General features: G+C 40.9%; 1 long non-coding RNA gene across 1 annotated transcript in view; it reads left to right on the plus strand.

Moving 5' to 3' along the window:
- Nucleotides 1-20,385, plus strand: part of LINC01516 (long intergenic non-protein coding RNA 1516) — a 48,176-nt gene that overhangs the window by 23,648 nt on the left and 4,143 nt on the right. The window lies entirely within an intron of this gene.

Raw genomic sequence — 20,385 nt, forward strand, 5'->3', positions numbered from 1 at the left:
AATCTCAGAACTGTAGAAAAGCATCCCAAGTCTTCCATTTAAGGTGGTTTAAGTCTATCAGCCAGGAAAGTTATGGATCGCAAAGACTGCTTATTTTCCTTTATGCTTGTTTGAGATACTGTGGATAAGTGTATTAAAGTCTAAATGGTGCTGTGTTTGGATTTGATCGACTTTCCTTTCTGTCCGCCATTTGACACATGCTGCTTTGTTGATCTACTCTGAGAACTGAAGTGTGGTAAACTTTTTGAAGGCCTGAATTAACAGGCCTTTCTACAATGGGGGAAGAAAGATGTTGGGGGGAGGTGGAGGTGAGGATGATGACGGTGATGGTGGATATTTCAGAGAAAGGCCTGATGGGGCTAATCTGTCTATAAACAATATTCTATGACAATGGCCTTTTGATGATTGTTGATAATTACTATACTGAAAGAGAAAATGTATACACAGACTCCTACTGGGGTGAAGGAAGTGATACTTCTCTAAGCGGTTCATAAAATTACTCAGTCATGATAAATGTTGCATTGGGAAAGATGTTTTATTAGGTAATAATCATGTTCTCTGGTGTGATCTTATTCTGGCAGATAATTGCTGCTCCCAAATGAGATAAAGAGTGGTCCTTCATTTCTATCAGGCTGAACAGCAGAATACTACGGGTATAGGGAATAGGATTGTCCAGAGTCTGATGTTTACGTTCCTTGGCCAGCTTTCAGGAGAACCTGCATAGAGATTGTCTCTACTTTGTGGGAATCCTTCCAAAATGCGCACAGAGCTGTGGCTTCCTCTTGCTGTGGCTACAGCACAAATGAGCTAGAGTGGTTAACCGGGTTGGTGGGGAATTTGTCTAATTTTTTTAAGAGCATCTGTTTGAGGTGATTGAAATGTAAACAAGATATATCTTGCTGTTTAAACCATACTGGAGTTATTTATTTATTTATTTAATGAGACAAAGTCTTACTCTGTTGCCCAGGCTAGAGTGCAGTGGCGTGATCATGGTTCACTGCAGCCTTGAGGGAGCTTGTCTTTGATCTGATGCCCACAGAAGATTCAACCTTGGATGGACTTTACTCCCTCCTCTGAATTCTCCTAGCACTCTTGTTTCATCTCTACTGTATATATATATATATATATATATATATATATATATATATATATATATATATTTAATCTGTGTGTGTATCTATCTATATATATATAGACACACACACATATATATTTCTTATGAGGAACTGGCTTATATAATTATGGAGGCCGAGAAGTCCCATGATCTACCATCCACAAGCTGTAGACCCAGGAAAGCCAATTGTGCAATCAGTTCAAGTCAAAAGGCCTGAGAACCAGGAGAACTGATGGTGGGTATTTCAGTCTAAGGGCAATAGAAGATGGGATGAAACATTTCAGCTCCAACAGTGAGACAGAAAAAAAAGCAGGGGAAAGGAGGCAAATTCCTCCTTCTTCCACTTTTTCTTCCATTCAAGCCCTCAAAGATTGGATAGTGCCCACCCATATTAGGGAGGGTGATGTACATTATTAAGCCCATGGATTTAAATGTTTTATTTTGCTTTTTTTAGACAAGGTCTTGCTCTATCGTCGAGGCTGCAGTGCAGTGACATGACCATGGCTCACTGCAACCTCAACCTCTCAGGCTCCGGTGATCCTCCCTCTTCAGCCTCCCAAGTAGCTGAGACTACAGTTGTGAGCCACCACATCCAGCTGATTTTTTTAAAATCATTTTTTGTTGAGATGGAGATCTTTATATATACATACATATATATATATATATATTTTTTTTTTTTTAATTATACTTTAAGTTCTAGGGTACATGTGCACAACGTGCAGGTTCGTTACATATGTATATATGTGCCATGTTGGTGTGCTGCACCCATTAACTCATCATTACATTAGGGATGGGATATCTCCTAATGCTATCCCTCCCCGCACCCCACAACAGGCCCCGGTGTGTGATGTTCCCCTTCCTGTGTCCACGTGTTCTCATTGTTCAATTCCCACCTATGAGTGAGAACATGCAGTGTTTAGCTTTTTGTCCTTGCGATAGTTTGCTGAGAATGATGGTTCCCAACTTCATCCATGTCCCTACAAAGGACATGAACTCATCCTTTTTTGTGGCTGCAGAGTATTCCATGGTGTATATGTGCCACATTTTCTTAATCCAGTCTATCATCATTGGACATTTGGGTTGGTTCCAAGTCTTTGCTGTTGTGAGTAGTGCCGCAATAAACATACGTGTGCATGTGTCTTTATAGCAGCATGATTTATAATCCTTTGGGTATATACCCAGTAATGGGATGACTGGGTCAAATGGTATTTCTAGTTCTAGGTCCCTGAGGAATCGCCACACTGTCTTCCACAATGGTTGAACTAGTTTACAGTCCCACCAGCAGTGTAAAAGTGTTCCTATTTCTGAGATGGAGATCTTAATATCTTGTCTAGGCTGGTCTTGAACTCTTGGGCTCAAGTTATCCTTTCACCTTGACCTCTCAAAGTGCTGGGATTAACGTGGATCTCATCTGGAAACACTTTCACAGACACATCCAGAAGGAATGTTTAATTTGTGGCCCAGTCAAGTTGATATATAAAATTAACCATCACACTTACGCATTCACCTACTTAACAAGCTCTTGAAGGGCAATATCTTGCCTGATTTATCATTGCATCCTACATATCCTACAGTACCAAGGATTCTATACACAAAAATTAATAGTAATAATAACAATAATTAACATTTATTGATCCCATACACTGTGGCCATGTGCCAAGCTTTGTGATTTATTTGTATTAACTTGATTCTCCCAACAACCTCTTGAGATATGTACTATTAAAAGTCCTATTATCTGATGGGGAAACAGAGCTGCTCATTAACTGGTCAATGGTCACACAGTAAATATTTGACCAGGCCACTGACTCTAGAAACTGTGATCTTAACCTCTACACTATATTCACAGATGGTGGATAAATGTATGCAGCATGTTTGGTATCTATACTCTTGGGTGATGAAGGTTATTTGACTCCAAACCACAACAAGCCTGGAGGATTCATATTGGTTTCTACCAGTTTTAAGCACTATTTTATATGGAAAATTTCCAGATTATCAAATTAGGATGAACCTTGATGTTCATTCATTCATTCAAATATGAATATTCAAATATTAATGGATCCTTTCAACAAATATTTATTGAACAAAAAAATATGTGCCAGGCACTGGCTAGGCACGAGGATACAATAGTGAACAAAACAACTATGGTCTGGGCTCTGGTATAGTTTACTTTCAAGTGGGAATGACAGACATTGAAAAAATAATTATGCTAATGAACATGTGAATTACTGCAAACTGAGGGGTTCTGAAGAAACAGGAAGCTAGTCTGAGACAGCACATAGTGGAGGAATCAGGTCAGGGCCAGATATCAGGGAAGACTTCCATGAAGAAGGTATCCTTCAACTGTCTTCTGAAAAATGATTAGAGCTTTACCAGGTGATATGGTTTGGCTGTGTCCCCATTCAAATCTCATCTTGAATTGTAGCTCCCATAATCCCCATGTGTCATGGGAGGGACCCGGTGGGAGGTAATTGACTCATGGGTGCAGGTTTTCCTGTGCTGTTCTCATGATAGTGAATAAGTCTTAAAAAATTTGATGATTTTATAAAGGGGAGCTCTCCTGCACATGCTCTCTTGCCTGCCACCATGTAAGATGTGACTTTGCTCCTCTTTCACCTTTTGCCATGATTGTGAGGCCTCCCCAGCCATGTGGAACTGTGAGTCCATTAAACTTCTTTCCTTTATAAATTACCCAGTCTCAGGAATATCTTTATTAGCAGCAAGAGAACAGATGAATACACTAGGGGTGGAGGATGAGATGGGTGGGAGAGCAGTCTAGGTAGCTAGGCAGAGGAATAGCATGTGCCAAGTCCTGGACCAACAGGGACTTTGGCAAATCAAGATCTATATCAGAACCTTGGCCATAGTGGTGAGCTCAGTTTAAAGCAAAACAAAGATCATATATATATTATATATATATAATATATAATATATATAACATATATAATATATAATATATATAACATATATAATATATAGTATATAATATCTATAATACATATTGTATATAATATATATTATATATAGTATATAATATATATATTATATATAGTATATAATATATATATTATATATATAAAAGATATATATATAACATATATATCTTTTATATATATAGCTGTCTATGTACATATAGGTATGTGTAATTGCACATTGTGTATTTTATATACACACACACACACACACACACACTATATATAAAGCCATCTCACTGTTTGTTGTTGTTGTTGCTTGTTTGTTTGTTTTTGAGACAGGGTCTGGCTTTGTCACCCAGCCTGGAGTGTAGTGGTGTGATCATAGCTCACTGAAGCCTTGAAATCTTGGGCTCAAGCAATCCTGCCACCTCAGTCTCCCAAGTAGCCAGGACTACAGGCACATGCCACCATGGCTAATTTTTTATTTTATTTTATTTTCGTAGAGATGGAGGTCTTGCTTTGTTGCCCAGGCTGCTCTTGAGCTCCTGGCTTCAAGTGATCCTCCCATTTCAGCCTCCCAAAGTGCTGGGATTACAGGCATGAGCCACCTTGCCCAGACCTTTCTCACTTTTTATTATGCATGTGTAATATGACAAAAATTGAAATCTATGTGTAATACTGTTCTATAAATTTTTTTAGATTTAAATATAATATGAATATTCTTCATGCTTATATTTCTTATAATCTTTAATACCGTATTTTATTATATGCCTCATAATTTATTTAATAAATCCTTTAATATTGCATATTTATTTTTTTTCTAATTTTTTCACGATTATAAGTAACACCTCAATAAATATCTTTATATAAAACTATTTTGCATGTTTTTTTTTTGAGACAGAGTCTCATTCTGTTGCTCAGGCTGGAGTGCAGTGGTGCAATTTCGGCTCATTGCACCCTCTGCCTCCTGGGTTCAGCCTCCCAAGTAACTGGGACTCTTGCTTCAGCCTCCCGAGTAACTGGGACTACAGACATGCACAACTATGCCTGACTAATTTTTTTTTTTTTTTTTTGTATATTTAGTAGAGACAGGGTTACGCCATGTTGGACAGGCTGGTCTCAAACTCCTTACCTCAAGTGATATGCCTCGACCTCCCAAAGTGCTGAGATTATAGGCATGATCCACCACATCCTGCTGATTTTTGCATATTTTTGATTGCTTTCTTTATATAAACTTTTGTAAGCTTTTGATAGATATTGCCTAATCTTGTCCCTATTTGTAATCTTACATTTGTATATGATTACCTATTTTACTCCTTCCCCACAAACCTTGTATTTTTTCTTTATGATTTTAAGTCTTCACTAATACAAAACGCAAAAATGCTTTGTTTTGCTCTCTTAATGATACACGAGATTCTCCTGCCCCTTTGAAGGAAGTGATCCCATCCTTATGTAATTGTTTCCTGGATGTCGTTCCATTGCCCCCCTAAGGTTCTCCTGTTCAACCCAGACTCTGAAACATCTCTCGGTCCCGAGCAGAGATGGGGAGCGTGGGAGCCCCACACAGCCAGGCCCCTTGCTGTCCCATCCCATGCACCCTACACTGTGCCTGCCTGGCTTGGCTTGGCTGGAATACTGCTGGTTCTTTGTAGTAGCCTGCATATTCTCTACCTCTCTTGACAATTTTCTTCTCATGTTTACTTTCCAAATACATACCCAGAGAGTTCCTAGCTGCAATTTTTCTGAATCTTTCTTTTCTTTAATTTTCACATTGCTCGTAGTCTCCAGGGTCATCCATTAATTATGTGCTTCCCCTAGCGTCCCCCACCTCCATCTCTCTCTCTCCCTCATTCTGCTCCTGTCGGTCAGAGTGTGAGCAATGGCTCACGTCATCCCTGGTTCCTCACGCCATCCCTGGCCTCTGATGCATCACTTCAACGACTGCTGACACCTACACAGCTCTCCTAAAATCCCTCCATTAGTCATTCCTTTGGTCAGGGCTCTTAAGGTCCTTTTAAAATTCACGCATGCTCTGTGGGAAGTGGCATATCTAGCCAATTCTCAGCTATTATGTTTGTCTAATCAGCTAGGTTCAGTGAACAGGGCTGTGAAGCATTTTTTAATAAAGGAGTTGAGAAAATATGAGGCAATACCTTAAAAGATGTTTCAGCAAGGACTAAGCAGCCCTGAAGGGGTTCCAAAAGGAAGTAGGAGATGCTGACAGAAAAGGAGAGTGACTTCCAGAACCAACTGGGTGGGAAGAATAGGAACGCTCATTCTGGGACTGTCCTTCACGTCTTCAGATTGACTTATTTTGGCAAGGGGGAGTTCTAGGCAACTATGTAACATATTGCCCAAAGCAGAACACTTTTGAGAATGAAAAATGGGGTGTTCCATGAAAAGACCATATATACAAAGCAACTCCTAAATGCCAAAGGAGCTGAGAAACCAAAGAAGGAGGCACATCAGTCCAGTGTGTTCTTAAAGGTGTTTTATTGGGGAACTGACAGACACAAGTGTGGTCTTGGGTGACCACAGGACAGGTGGCCCTCTGCACTGTTATTCCCCAGATCCAGGGCTTATATCTCTAGGGAAAGGGTATCTGTGCTCCAGCAAGACAAGGCAAAGCAACTCTTCAGTACAGGCAAGAATGCTATACTGTGTGCCATAACTTATAATTTGTGTGATAACATTAAGGTAGATTTGTTCTTACAATAGGGATAGTAAATAAAGGATGAATCAGGAGGCGTTCATGCAGCCGGGAAATAATCAGAAGTCAACATGGGAGATTAGCCTCTAAGATGGAGTCAACGGCTGGGTGCGGTGGCTCATGCCTGTAATCCCAGCACTTTGGGAGGCCGAGGTGGGTGGATCACCTGAGGTTGGGAGTTTGAGACCAGCCTGACCAACATGGTGAAACCCTGTTTCTACTAAAAATACAAAAATTAGCTGGGCATGGTGGTGTGCACCTGTAATCCCAGCTACTTGGGAGGCTAAGGCAGGAGAATAGCTTGAAACCAGGAGGAGGAGGTTGCAATGAGCTGAGATAGTGCCACCGAACTCAACGTGGCAACAGAGTAAAACTCTGCCTCAAAAAAAAAAAAAAGATGGAATCACTTTTATCTCCACATGGAGGAACTCTTAAAAATTATACAGGATCAACAGGTGTAAATAAGGGATTTACACCTGTCTTGGGATCCCCCTACTTACAGGAAGTACTCATGAGGAATCTCTCTGAATTTTTTTTTTTTTGAGACAAAATCTTGTTTTGTCACCCAGGCTGGAGTGTAGTGGTGTGATCCTGGCTCACTGCAACCTCCGCCTCCTGGGTTAAAGAGATTCTCCTGCCTCAGCCTCCCGAGTAGCTGGGATTACAGGCATGTGCCACCATGCCCAGCTAATTTTTGTATTTTTAGTAGAGACGGGGTTTCACCATGTTGGCCAGGCTGGTCTCGAACTCCTGACCTTAGGTGATCCACCCTCCTTGCTCTCCCAACGTGCTGGGATTACAGGCGTGAGCCACTGCACCGGCCTCTCTCTGGAAGGTTTAATAAAGAATTGAGCATTTTCCCCTATAGAGGCAAATAGAAAGTCTGCTTCCATCTATCAGGTCCACATGCAGTCATAAGACAATTGTTCATATGAAATTTTTAAATGTCTTGATTCCTATTTAGGTATTATTGGTTCAAAGTAAAAGGTGAAATATAAAAACAGACTCCAAATGGAGAGATAGGTTAGGGCCAGGTTGTGAAGGGCTTTGAATGCCATATTGAGGGGTCTCCACTTAATCCTGTCTGTAAAAAGAAACTGCCAGAGGGGGATGGATGCAAAATGACCTGTGGCTTATGCATACCACCCTGGAGATGGTGTTGAGAATGGGTGAATGTAACAAACACATTGGTAGTGGTGACGCTTTTGGTGGAAAGTCCATCGTGACCGTGGTCCAGGTGACAGTGCTGGGAAGTTGAGTGAGAGCAGCAGCAGAGGTCACGGGGAGAAGTCACCGTATTTAAAACACAGTGTGGAGCTAGAATCAATAACACTCAGTGAATTACTGTATATGGAGAATGAAGAAGAAGAAGGAATCAAAGATGGACTCAGGGTTCTCAAAATATTGACTAGGTGAAGGGCAATGCTATTATTCCCGATCAGGGACACGGGTAGACGAATGAGATTAAGGACATGGTAACTTCTATGTTTTAAATAAAGTTTAAAGACTGTAGCTGGGTGTGGCGGCTCATGCCTGTAATCTCAGCACTTTGGGAGATTGAGACAGAAAGCTTGCTTGAATTCAGGAGTTCAAGACCAGCCTGGACAATATAGGGAGACCTCGTCTCTATTTTAACAATGACAGAAAACAAAAACAAAAACGAAAAGAAAGAAAGAAAGAAAAAGAAATGAAAAGAAAAAATAAAGAATGTATATGATACGCCAGGGTTTTGCTGGCATTTTATTTGTTACCTCAATCTTAACAGTTTTCTGAAGTAGGCCTTGTCATTACCTCCATTTAAAAAAAATCTTAAAACATTTTAAATTGACAAATAATAATTGTACATATTGATGGGGTACATAGTAATTCTTTGTGTTGGGAGCATTCAACAGCCTCCTTCTAGCTATTTGAAACTGCATAATATTTTACTGTTAACCATAGTCATCCTACAATGGAATAGAACACTAGAACTTATTCCTCCTTTCTAGTGGTAATCTTGTATCCTTTGATAAATCTCTCCCTATCCCTTTCTTTCCCCTACCCTTCCACGCCTCTGGTATTCTTTTCTTACTTCTATGAGATCAACTTTTTTTAGCTTCCACTATGAGTGAGTACATGCAGTATTTAACTTTCTGCTCCTGCCTTATTTCACTTAACATAATGTCCTCCAGTTTTATCCAAACTGTAGCAACTGACAGGACCTCATTCTTTTTTATGGCCGAGTAGTATTCCATTGTGTATACACCACATTTCCTTTATTGTATCATTTGTTGTTGGACACCTGAGTTGATTCTATATCTTGGCTGTTGTGACTACTACTGCAATAAACATGGGGGTGTAGATGTCTTGTTGACATAAGGAAAGCATAGAGAGGTTGTGTGCTTCACTCTGGCCACCCAGCTAATAGATGGTAAAGATGGAACATGAAGCCAGCAAGGGCTCCCACTTTTTATCATTGTGCCTTTCACTCAGAGATGAATTTTAAAAGTGTGAGGTGGCGGCAACTCTGGAGCTATCTGATTATTGGTATACATTTGACAGAGGCAAAGCTTGTTCCTTTTCTGATTTTTAAAAATAATTTTCTCTATTTTATTTATTTTATTCTTTTTTGTTTTTTGAGACGGAGTCTTGCTCTGTCACCCAGGCTGGAGTGCAGGCATGATCTCAGCTCCCTGCAACCTCTGCCTCCCAGGTTCAAGCAATTCTCCTGCCTCAGCTTCCCAGGTAGCTGGGATTACAGGCGCCCACCACGCCCAGCTAATTTTTGTATTTTTAGTAGAGACAGGGTTTCACCATGTTGGCCAGGCTGGTCTTGAACTCCTGACCTCAAGCAATCCACCCACCTTGGCCTCCCAAAGTGTTGGGATTACAGACGTGAGCCACCGCGCCTGGTCTGATTTGTTTTATTTTCCTTCTATGTAGGTGCGAGTATCTCTTAAGGCTTGATACAGAGCCCCACGCTCTTCTCTTCCTAGGTTGTATCTACATTCACGGCTGCAACCATCACTCCATCCACGGGATGACTCCAGAGCATTTATCTCTGTCCTTGACAATTTCTCTAAATGCGTGTGACACATCTTCAGCTGCCTGCGAAACAGTCCCGGTTGCAAGGCCACTGCCATTAAAATACTCAAGCCCTTATGAAGGATCTGTAGTAGCCAGCTGTGTTAATCTAGAAAAGACACCTCTTCAGAGCTTTGCTTTTCTATCTGTCAGAAAAGGTGGTTTAAAGTAGATCTACAGTCTAAGACTTTAGTCTCCAGTCTAAGGCCTGGAAGGACTAACTGTTGGCGGAACCTCCTTCCTTTGCCTAAAGTTCCTATAGCTGTAACTTGTGCTGCCCAATACAATTTAATTTAAATTTAATTAAAAGTATATATGATTAAAAATTCCCTCCCTCAGTCTCACTAGCCACTTTGAAATGCTCAATGGCCGCATGTGACCGGTGGCTACCACAACGGACAATGCTGATGGAGAACATATTCATTATTGCAGAATGTTTTATTGGATATTTTTGTAATTTAAGCAACTATCAGGTCTGTATTGGTCAGGGTTCTCTACAGTGACAGGACTAATAGGATAGTTGTATATATGAAGGGGAGTTTGTTAAGGAGAATTGACCCACATGATCACAAGGTGAAGTCCCACAATAGGCTGTCTGTAAGCTGAGAAGCAAGGAAACCAGTCCGAGTCCCAAAACCTCAAAAGTAGGGATGCCAACAGTGCAGCCTTCAGTCTGTGGCAGATGGCCTCAGAACCCCTGGCAAACCACTGGTATAAGTTCAAGAGTCCAAAAGCTGAAGAATTTGGAGTCCAATGTTTGAGGACAGGAAGCATCCAGCATGGGAGAAAGATAGAGGCCAGAAGACCCAGCAAGTCTCATCCTTCCAGGTTCCTCTGCCTGCTTTTCTCCTAGCCACGCTGGCAGCTGATTAGATGGTGCCCACCCAGATTGAGGGTGGGTCTGCCTCTCCCAGTCCATTGACTCAAATGTTAATCTCCTTTGGCAACATCCTCACAGACACACCCAGGAACATTACTTTGCATCCTTCAATCCAATCAAGTTGACACTCAATATTAACCATCAGAAGGTCTAAAGCCAAAATGTCTACAGCTATCGTATCCAAAGTCTCCCCATTCACCCAATTTTTTTTTTTTTTTTTTTTTGAGATGAAGTCTTGCTCTGCCACCCAGCCTGCAGTGAAGTGGTGCAATGTCTCGGCTCACTGATCTTCTTCCTCCCAGGTTCAAGCGATTCTCCTGCCTTAGCCTCCCGAGTAGGTGGGTTTATAGGCACCCACCACCACGCCTGGCTAATTTTCATATTTTTAGTAGAGATGGGGTTTCATCATGTTGGCCAGGCTGGTCTCGAACTCCTGACCTCCAGTGATCCGCCTGCCTCAGCCTCCCAAAGTGCTGGGATTACAGGCGTGAGCCACCGTGCCCGGTCCCCATTCACTCAAATTTTGTTCTCCCTGTATCTCACAGTAGCATGTAACATTATTGTTATGGACTGAAATGTGGCCCCTTCAAATTTGTATATGGAAGCCTTAAGTTCCAATGTAACTATATTTGAAGATAGGGCCTTTAAAGAACTTTTAACCTATAGAGTAAAAGAGAGTGGGCCCCTAATCCGACGGGTTGTTCCTCAGCAGGCTCCCGTGGCTGAGAATGTCCCTATGCAGAGAAATGCTGGAACCCATTAGGGCATACTGGAACTCTCTGTCGTGACCTCTGTCAGGACCAGGGCTTGTGGGAAACAAGTCACCCTAGGCACAATTTAAGGATTGTGGACTTGCTGAGCTGCACTTGCACAAATCTGAGAACAAGTTTTGACCTTGACGTCTGGGACAGGCCTTGGGGATAAGCTTGGGGCACCAACAGTGTTCCTCATTGTCCCATGGCCTTTTTAACACTTATTACAATATATTCTGCTTCATATTATAGTTATCTCTGTGCAGGCCTTTCCCCTTAATAAATCTTAAGTTTCTTGAGAGCAGAAACTTATTCTCTTTCTAATCTTTCCTCTCCAAGTGCTTAGTCACTCAAAAGAAATGGTTATGATGTTGAATTCCCTCTATCGTTGGCCTATCTCTGTAGTGGAAAGCTTCCAGTCCATTTCCCCATTCCGAGTTTCATCCTAAACCAGCAGAAATAATATCTCTAAAAGATTTGGAAGGACCAGATGTGGTGGCTCATGCCTGCACTCCCAGTGTTTTGGAAGCCAAGATGGGAGGATCACTTGAGGCCAGGAGTTTGAGACCAGCCTAGGCAACACAGAAGACCCTGCCCCTACGAAAAAATACAAAAATTAGCCAGGCGTGATGACCTGCTTCTGTAGTCCCAGCTACTTGGGAGGCTGAGGCAGGAAGATTGCTTGAGCCCCGGAGATGGAGGCTGCAGTGAGTTATGATCACACCACTGCCCTTCAGCCTGGGTAACAAAGTGAGGCCCTGTCTCTTAAAAAAATTATTTGAAGATGAAAGAGAGTCAATGCAGGAACAGGTGCAGGGATAGCAATTCAGAAATCAGAGCTAGAGCAGTGGTTCTCAAAGTGTGGCCCCTGGATCCACTGCATCATCTTCCTCTTGGAGGGCCTCCCAGGCCTCACCTGAGACCTACTGACTCAAATTCTGGGAGTGGGGCCCGCAATTTATGTTTGTACAAGCCCTTCGGGTAATTCTGAGCTAGAGAATGATAAGGTAGTGAATCAACCTTAGGGTTGGAAAGGATTTCTTGGAGTTAGCCAGAGGGAAGAAACTGTAACCTTAGGCTATCAGTCTTGTTCAGTAGCAGAGCTGAGCAAGACTGACCTTGGGGAATGTGGTTCTATTAAAAAAAAAATTGAAATTTGAAATGCTTTCACATTAAAGAGAAGGGTTTAGTTTGTGGAGATTTCAATCTGTTGAATAAAAATTAATAGAATTAAATAGATCCTGAAGGAACTGAAGCATGTCAGAGGACACTTGAGCTGGGGCAAGCCTGCCCAGAGGAGATCCAAATGTCAGAGCAGACACAAAAGCACAGCAAAGGACCAGAACTTGACACAGGTACCCATTTCTTGCAAAAAAAAAAATGTAGATTGTCTTCAGTTTATTCCCTGTAAACACACAGAAAAAATCGTGGTGTTTTAGAGACTGAGAGAGCGGTCATGTTTAAGATTATGAGCATCAGAGAGAATAGAGAAATTTGCATGGCAGTCTTCACGTAGAACTAGGAATACAATGAAGTCAGGAAAATTCATGCCAGGCTTATTCAGGTGGGGAAATTGACTTTTCCCAGGTAGTAAGCCTTGTATTAGCTAGAGTTTTCCAGAAAAACAGAATTAAGAGGATATGTGTAGATGTGTGTGTGTGTGTGTGTGTGTGTGTGTGTGTGTGTGAGAGAGAGAGAGAGAGAGAGAGAGAGAGAGATGACAGAGAGAGATTGAAATTTGTTTTAAGGAATTGGCTGATGCATTTGTGGAAGCTTAGTGAGTCCAAAATCTGCAGGTATGTTAGCAGGCTGGAGACTCAGGGAGTAGTTGCAGTTTGAGCTCCAGGGCAGTTGGAGAATTCCTTCTTGCTTGGGGAAAGTCAGTCTTTGTTCTATTCAGGCCGTCAACTGGTTGGATGTGGCCCACCCACATTTTGAAGAGCAATCTGCTTTACTCAAAGTCTACCAATTTTAATATTAGTCTCATCCAAAAAATCACCTCCTCAAGAATAATGCTTGACCAAATATCTGGGCACCATGGTCCAGCCAAGCTGACACATAAAATTAATCATCACAGGCTTGTACACAGGAAAGCTGCCTGCTACCAGGCTGGGGAAAGTGGTGCCAGTGAGGTGGTGTGCTGCTACTGCACTGAATAAGGGGAGTAGAGATCTGATGGGGAGCTGCTCCCTAAAGGATATACTACTTCATTCACTTTCAGCTTATTTTAACTCATAAACTAATATCCTTGTTAGAGGAAAGGGATGAATTATATGAATTTTGACTATAAACAAAGTAATAATTACTTATCTCTCTCTATCTCTCTCTCTCTCTTTTTTTTTTTTTTGTTGAGACAGGGTCTTGCTTTGTTTCCCAGGTGGGAGTGCAGTGGTGCCAACATGGCTTACTTCAGTCTTGACCTCCTGGGCTCAAGCAATCCTCCTGATTCATCCTCCTGGGTAGCTGGGACCACAGACATACATCGCCATGCCTGGCTAACTTTTTTTTTTTATTTTGTAGAGATGGGCTCTTGCCATGTTGCCCAGGCTGGTCTCAAACTCCTGGCCTCAAGCAATCCTCCTGCCTTGGCCTCCCAAAGCACTGGAATTACAAGCATGAGCTGCCATGCCTGGCCTAATTATTTCTTTTAAAATGCGTATTTATTATTTTTGTATTTCTAAAAGTCAATATTAGATCCTGAGGGAAAAGTATAAATATAAAAACAAAATACAACAAGAAAGATATATACTTGTACATATTTTTGGGCTACATGTAATATTTTCATACATGTATACAATGTGGAATGATCAAATCAGGGTAATTGGGATATCTATTATTTTAAACATTTATCTTTTCTTTGCAGTGGGAACATTACACTTCTAGCTATTTTGAAATATACAATAAATTATTGTTAACTATAATTTCCTTACTGTGCTATTGAATACTATAATTCATTCCTTTTATCTAATTATATTTTTGTACCCATTAACCAACTTCTTGTTTGAGACACCATAGCTACAATTTTAATTTAATTCCCACCACCATTCTGTCACTCAAGGCTGTTCCAATTTCTAGGCCCTCTGCTTCAGCATAATCTGATTGCTTCTCAGGTGTTTCTTCATTCCTCTTTATATATTTTGACTCTAATTTTTTTTTTTGAGACAGAGTCTCGCCCTGTCGCCCAGGCTGAAGTGCAGGGGCATGATCTTGGTTGGCTCACTGCAAACCCTGCCTCCCAGGTTCAGGCAATTCTCCTGCCTCAGCCTCCTGAGTAGCTGGAATTATAGGCACCTGCCAACACACCCAGCTAATTTTTGTATTTTTAGTAGAGATGGGGTTTTCCATGTTGGCCAGGCTGGTTTCGAACTCCTGACCTCAACTGATCCACTTGCCTCAGCCTCTCAAAGTGCTAAAATTACAGGCATGAGCCACTGTGCCTGGTCATCTATTTACTATAAAAAGTAACAGGAATTTAGACTATTCCATTTTTTGCTATTATGAATAATACTAGGACAACATTACAAAACTAGGACATTGACAATATTTTATATCTGGCTTTATGATACTTTGCTATCCCATCCTCATACCTTACCCCACCCAAGGAGCTCAGCCACCTCCCTGAATCCTGTGTTTATAATTTCCTTGCTTTTGTTTTTATAAGTGTGAGTATCCCACAGTTTATTTAACTGTTCTCCTGTTGATGAGTCTTAGGTTGTTTTCAGGTTTTTGCTATTTAAATAGTAATGTTATTAACATTCTTGTACATATCACAGGGTATACATGTGCAAGAGTTTCTTTCGAGGCTGAGGTGGGTGGATCACGAGGTCAAGAGATCGAGACCATCCTGGCTAACACGGTGAAACCCTGTCTCTACTAAAAATACAAAAAATTAGCTGGGCGCAGTGGCAGGTGCCTGTAGTCCCAGCTACTTGGGAGGCTGAGGCAGGAGAATGGCGTGAACCCAGGTGGCAGAACTTGCAGTGAGCCAAGATAGCACCACTGCACTCCAGCCTGGGTGACAGAGCAAGACTCCATCTCAAAAAAAAAAAAAAAAAAAAAGAGTTTCTTTCAGGTATATATCAAGAATGAAAGTACTCAGTCATAGAGCTCAGCTTTGCATGGGAGATGAACATTTTTATGCAAGTGTTTTGGTGTATGCATATACTCATTTCTGTTGAGAACATTCCTAAAACTGGCATACATGCATGCCTTAGTTCATTCAGGCTGCTACAACAGAATACCATAGATGAGGTGGTTTATCAACACAACAACAGAAATTTCTTTCTCACTGTTCTGAAGGCTGTGAAGTCCAAGTTCAAGGCATGAACAGATTTAGCGTCTACTGAGAGCCCACTTCTTTGTTCATAGACAGGGTCTTTTGACAGTAACTTCACTTGCTGGAAGGGGCAAGAGAACTCTCTGGGGTGTCTTTTATAAGGGCATTAATCCCATTCATGAGGGCTGTGCACTCATGACCAATCACCTCCCAAAGTCCTCATCTCCTAATACCATCATATTGGGGGTTAGGATTTCAACATAAGGATTTTATAGCAACACAAACATTCAATCTATAGCAATGCACACACTCAATTTTAATAGATTATGTCAAACAAGTCTCCACAAACTGTGTCAGAGCATTCCAGTTGCTCAACATTCTCATCAACACTTGGTACTGTCAGTCTTGTGATTCTGGTGGGTTTGAGTATTTTACTGTGGTTTTAATTTGCTTTTCTCTGAGTACTAATATGTTTAGATTCCCTTTCACATGGCCATTATGATATCCTTTTGGGAGAAATGCCTGTTCAAATCTCTTGCTGTTTTCTCTATTGGGTTGTCTACCTTTTTTTTTTTTTTGGTCTTTCTTTTTATATTTGGGATACAGGTCCTTTGTAGATTATAGATATTGCGCATATCTTCCCCTATTCCATGGCTAGTCTTTTTCACTCTTAGTGGTATCCTTTCATAAAATTTGTTAAGTTTTAATGTAGTTGCATTTATCAGTCTCTTCTTTCATGGTTAGTGCTTCTGTGTCCTGTTTAAGAACGTTTTATTTTCTACTCCAAAGTCATAAAGATTCTGCCATGTCAGAAGCTCTCTTAGAAACTTTATGGTTTTATCATTTACTTTTAGATAACCTCTGGACTAGAAGTGGTTGTATGTAAGGTATGAGCTGGGGTCAAGGCTAATCTTTTCTCTAAGTGTTTCAGGTCAAGATTCCCGGGAAACAGAATCTGGAACATTGAGATTTGTGTGCAGTTTTACTGGGGTAAAACTCTCAGGCAGAACCTAACAGGGAGTGAAGGAAACAGAATTGGCACTTACCCCAGAAGGATGGAGGGAGAAGTTAAGCTGTAGTGATACCATTGCAACAGTGACCTAAACTAGTCCCAAGGGGAGATCTTGAGCCAGAAGTGTCCTTCAGAGACCAATCTAGGCAAGAGGCCAGGACTTTGAACCTATGCATCAGACAGTTCTTGGATACGGGCTACCCTCAGGGAGAGAGTATCATGCTGGATGAAGCAGTTTTCTTCAGCTAAGAGAAGTTCCAGAAAGGGATGCAGCTCCAAGCCATCTGCAGCCCACTTTTCCAGCAACTGGGAAAATGAGTGCCTCACTGCTGAAGGTGGATCTATGTAATTCAGTGGACTAAGAATCACGTATTGAAAAGATTATCCTATTCCCACTGTTCTGCAGAGCCGCCTTTGTCGCAGATCAAGTGACCATATACCTGGGTCTGATTTTGAACTCTATTCTGTTTTCTTGGTTTCTTTGACAATCGTTGAGCCAATACCACATGTCTTAATTACTGCAGCTTTACCAAAGGTGTCAATATCTGGGAGTTTAAGGACATTTTTTTTTTTCCAGATTGTCTTGGCTATGTGAGGCTCTTTGCATTTCCATTTAAGTCCCAAAATCATCAGGCATAAAAACATCTGCTGGGTTTTTAGATGGGCTTACATTAAAAGTATAGATTCAATCAGAAGAAAGTAGACACTTTTGCAGTATTGAGTCTTGTATTTTATCAACATCATCTATTCTTCCCTTATTTGGTCTCTTTTAATTTCACTAAATAATATTTTATAGTTTTCTGTGCAGTCTTTGCAAATCTTTTTTGACACCGCTGTAAACTTTTTTTTCTTTTTCTTTCTTTTTTTTTTTTTTTTGAGATGGAGTCTTGCTGTATTCACCCAGGCTGGAGTATAGTGGTGCATTCTTTGCTCATTGCAACCTCTGCCTCCTGGGTCCAAGTGATGCTTCTGTCTCAGCCCCCCAAGTAGCTGGGACTACAGGCGTGCACCACCATGCCCAGCAATTTTTTTGTGTGTTTTTATAGAGATGGGGTCTCACCATATTGGCCAGGCTGGTCTTGAACTCCTGGCCTCAAGTGATCCGCCCTCTTCGGCCTCCCAAAGTGCTGGGATTACAGACGTGAGCCACTGCGCCCAGCCTAACTTTTTTAAACAAATATTTCAACTTTAAACTATATTGGTATAATATATATTGATATATATGATCTAATATGCATATTGATATAACTAATTTTTGTATATTGCACATGCATCTAGCAACCTTGTTAAACTCATTTATTAATTCAAATAATTAATATGTAGATTGTTTTGGATTTTATGCAAACACAGTTATGTTGCCATTGGATAAGTGCAATTTTATATCTTCTTTTCAACTCTTTCGATCTTTTAATTTCATTTTCTTACTTTAGAAACTCTGAAACAATGATGAATAAAATATCCAGCTTAATAGCTGTAGTAGGTAATTATAACAAAATTTATTTAGCCAATGTTAGGTTGAAGGACATTTAAATTGGTCCACACTTTTGTCATAAACAATGCTGTAGTGAGCATCCTTTTCACATATATCTTATGTAGTTGTGTCATTCATTCCTTAGAATGAATTCCTGGGTTTGTTGGAATAATCTAGTCAATTAAACACATGTAAAGTAAATAAAAGACATCTTAAAAACAAGCATATGTAGCTGTCAGACAACAACGTTATTTTCTTAGTACTTCTATTGTCAGTTATAATGGGATCACACTTGTATAGAAAGAAGTCTTCTATCTTGAAATATAAATCTAGAAAAAAAGATTTTGGGAGATGTGAGTATATTTGCCCCTTCATATTTCTGCTCTAAGGTACCCATTGCTTCCTGGGATTCTAACATCTTATTGTATTTTTTAAAACAATCTCTTTCATAATTTCAGAACTGCCTAATCTCTTGATTGGAAGAAAAATGCTTTTTTCCAACATTTTCTTTTGATATTGCAAAAAGAAAGCAGAAAGAAGTGGGAGGAGGGGGAGAGAGAGAGAGAGAGAGAGAGAGAGACAGACAGACAGAGAACTAAAGGGAAAGAATAAAGTATAGACAAATCTTTTGAGACTTTGAGACTTTAATTTCTCTACTCTTTCATTTCAAGTTTGTGGATGGTAATTCATTGTCTCAGGGCAGGCACGTGGCAGGTAGTAAGCAGAATCATCTGCAAGATGTTCCTGGCCTTGTTTCAAAAAGTCTAATCCTAATGAGAACAAATTCCCCAAGAAAGTTCCCCTGGTCTCATATTAGAAGTGGTTCACAATCAGTCAGGTGCAGTGGCTCACACCTATAATCCCAGCACTTTGAAAGACCCAGGTGGGAGGATCATTTGAGCTCAGGAGTTTAAGACCAGCCTGAGCAACACAGGGAGATCCTGTCTGCCAACATTTTTTTTAAAAATTAGCTAGGCATGGTGGTGTGTACCTGTGGTCCCAACTACTCGGGAGGTTGAGGTGGAAGGGTCCCTTGAGCCCAGGAGGTTGAGGCTGCAGTGAGCTATAATCATACCTTTGCATTCCAGCCTGAACAATAGAATGAGAACCTGTCTCAAAAAAAAAAGAGTTTTGTAATCTCAGAGCAACAGTGACCCAGGCCTTGTTTACTGACAGTGTCTCAGGGAGGCAGCAAGATCTAGAGAAGAATATTGGCAGGTGGGATCATAGTAGGGCTGTCAGATAAAGTGCAGGCTGTCTAGTTAAAATTAAGATTTATATAAATGCTGAATAATTTAATTTAATTTTTTTTGGCGGGGATGGAGTCTCTTTCTGTCACTAGGCTGGAGCACAGTGGCGAGATCTCGGCTCACATCCGTCTCCCTGGTTCAAGCAATTCTCCTGCCTCAGCCTCCCGAGTAGCTGGGATTATAGGCACGTGCCACTACGCCTAGCTAATTTTTGTATTTTTAGTGGAGACGGGGTTTCACCACGTTGGCCAGGATGATCTTGATCTCCTGACCTTGTGATCCACCCGCCTCAGCCTCCCAAAGTGCTGGGATTACAGGAGTGAGCCACCATGCCCGGCCATTTGTTTAATTTTTTAAATTCATGTATTTATTTTTAACTCTGTCAAGTTTCTGGAAAATACTTTATTTAAAAAGAATTTTTTCCAATTGTTAAAATTGTTTGTAGAGATGGTATCTCACTATGTTGTCGAGGCTAGTCTCAAACTCCTGGCCTCAAGTGATCCTCCTACCTCTCCAAAGTGCTGGGATTATAGGCATGAACCACCATACCTGGCCAATAATGAATAATTGTTTAGTATGTCCCAAATATTTCATGCAACATATTTATGCTAAAGTATTATTTATTTATCTGAAATCCAAATTTAACTGGACATCCTGGGTGTTTGTTTGTTTGGTTTTTGCTAAATCTGGCAATCCTAGGTTACAGGCACCTCAGAGTTCAGCTTTGCACGGGACAGAGATTCCTGTGGCCCATGAATGGCCTGGCATGCATCGAAGAACCACTGGGTCTCGGTCTATACAATCAAGGGCAGTTTATATCTTAGTGGTAAACAGCATGGCTAGATCCTGATGACTATGACCCCATGCCTTGCCACCATGTGAGGCCCAAGAACCCTAGTCCAGTCTGGTATAGGGCAGGCAGATCTTTCCAGAGTGGTTGAGGCT

This window comes from Homo sapiens, chromosome 10, assembly GCF_000001405.40.
Source record: "Homo sapiens chromosome 10, GRCh38.p14 Primary Assembly".
In the NCBI taxonomy this organism is placed as follows: Eukaryota; Metazoa; Chordata; class Mammalia; order Primates; family Hominidae; genus Homo; species Homo sapiens.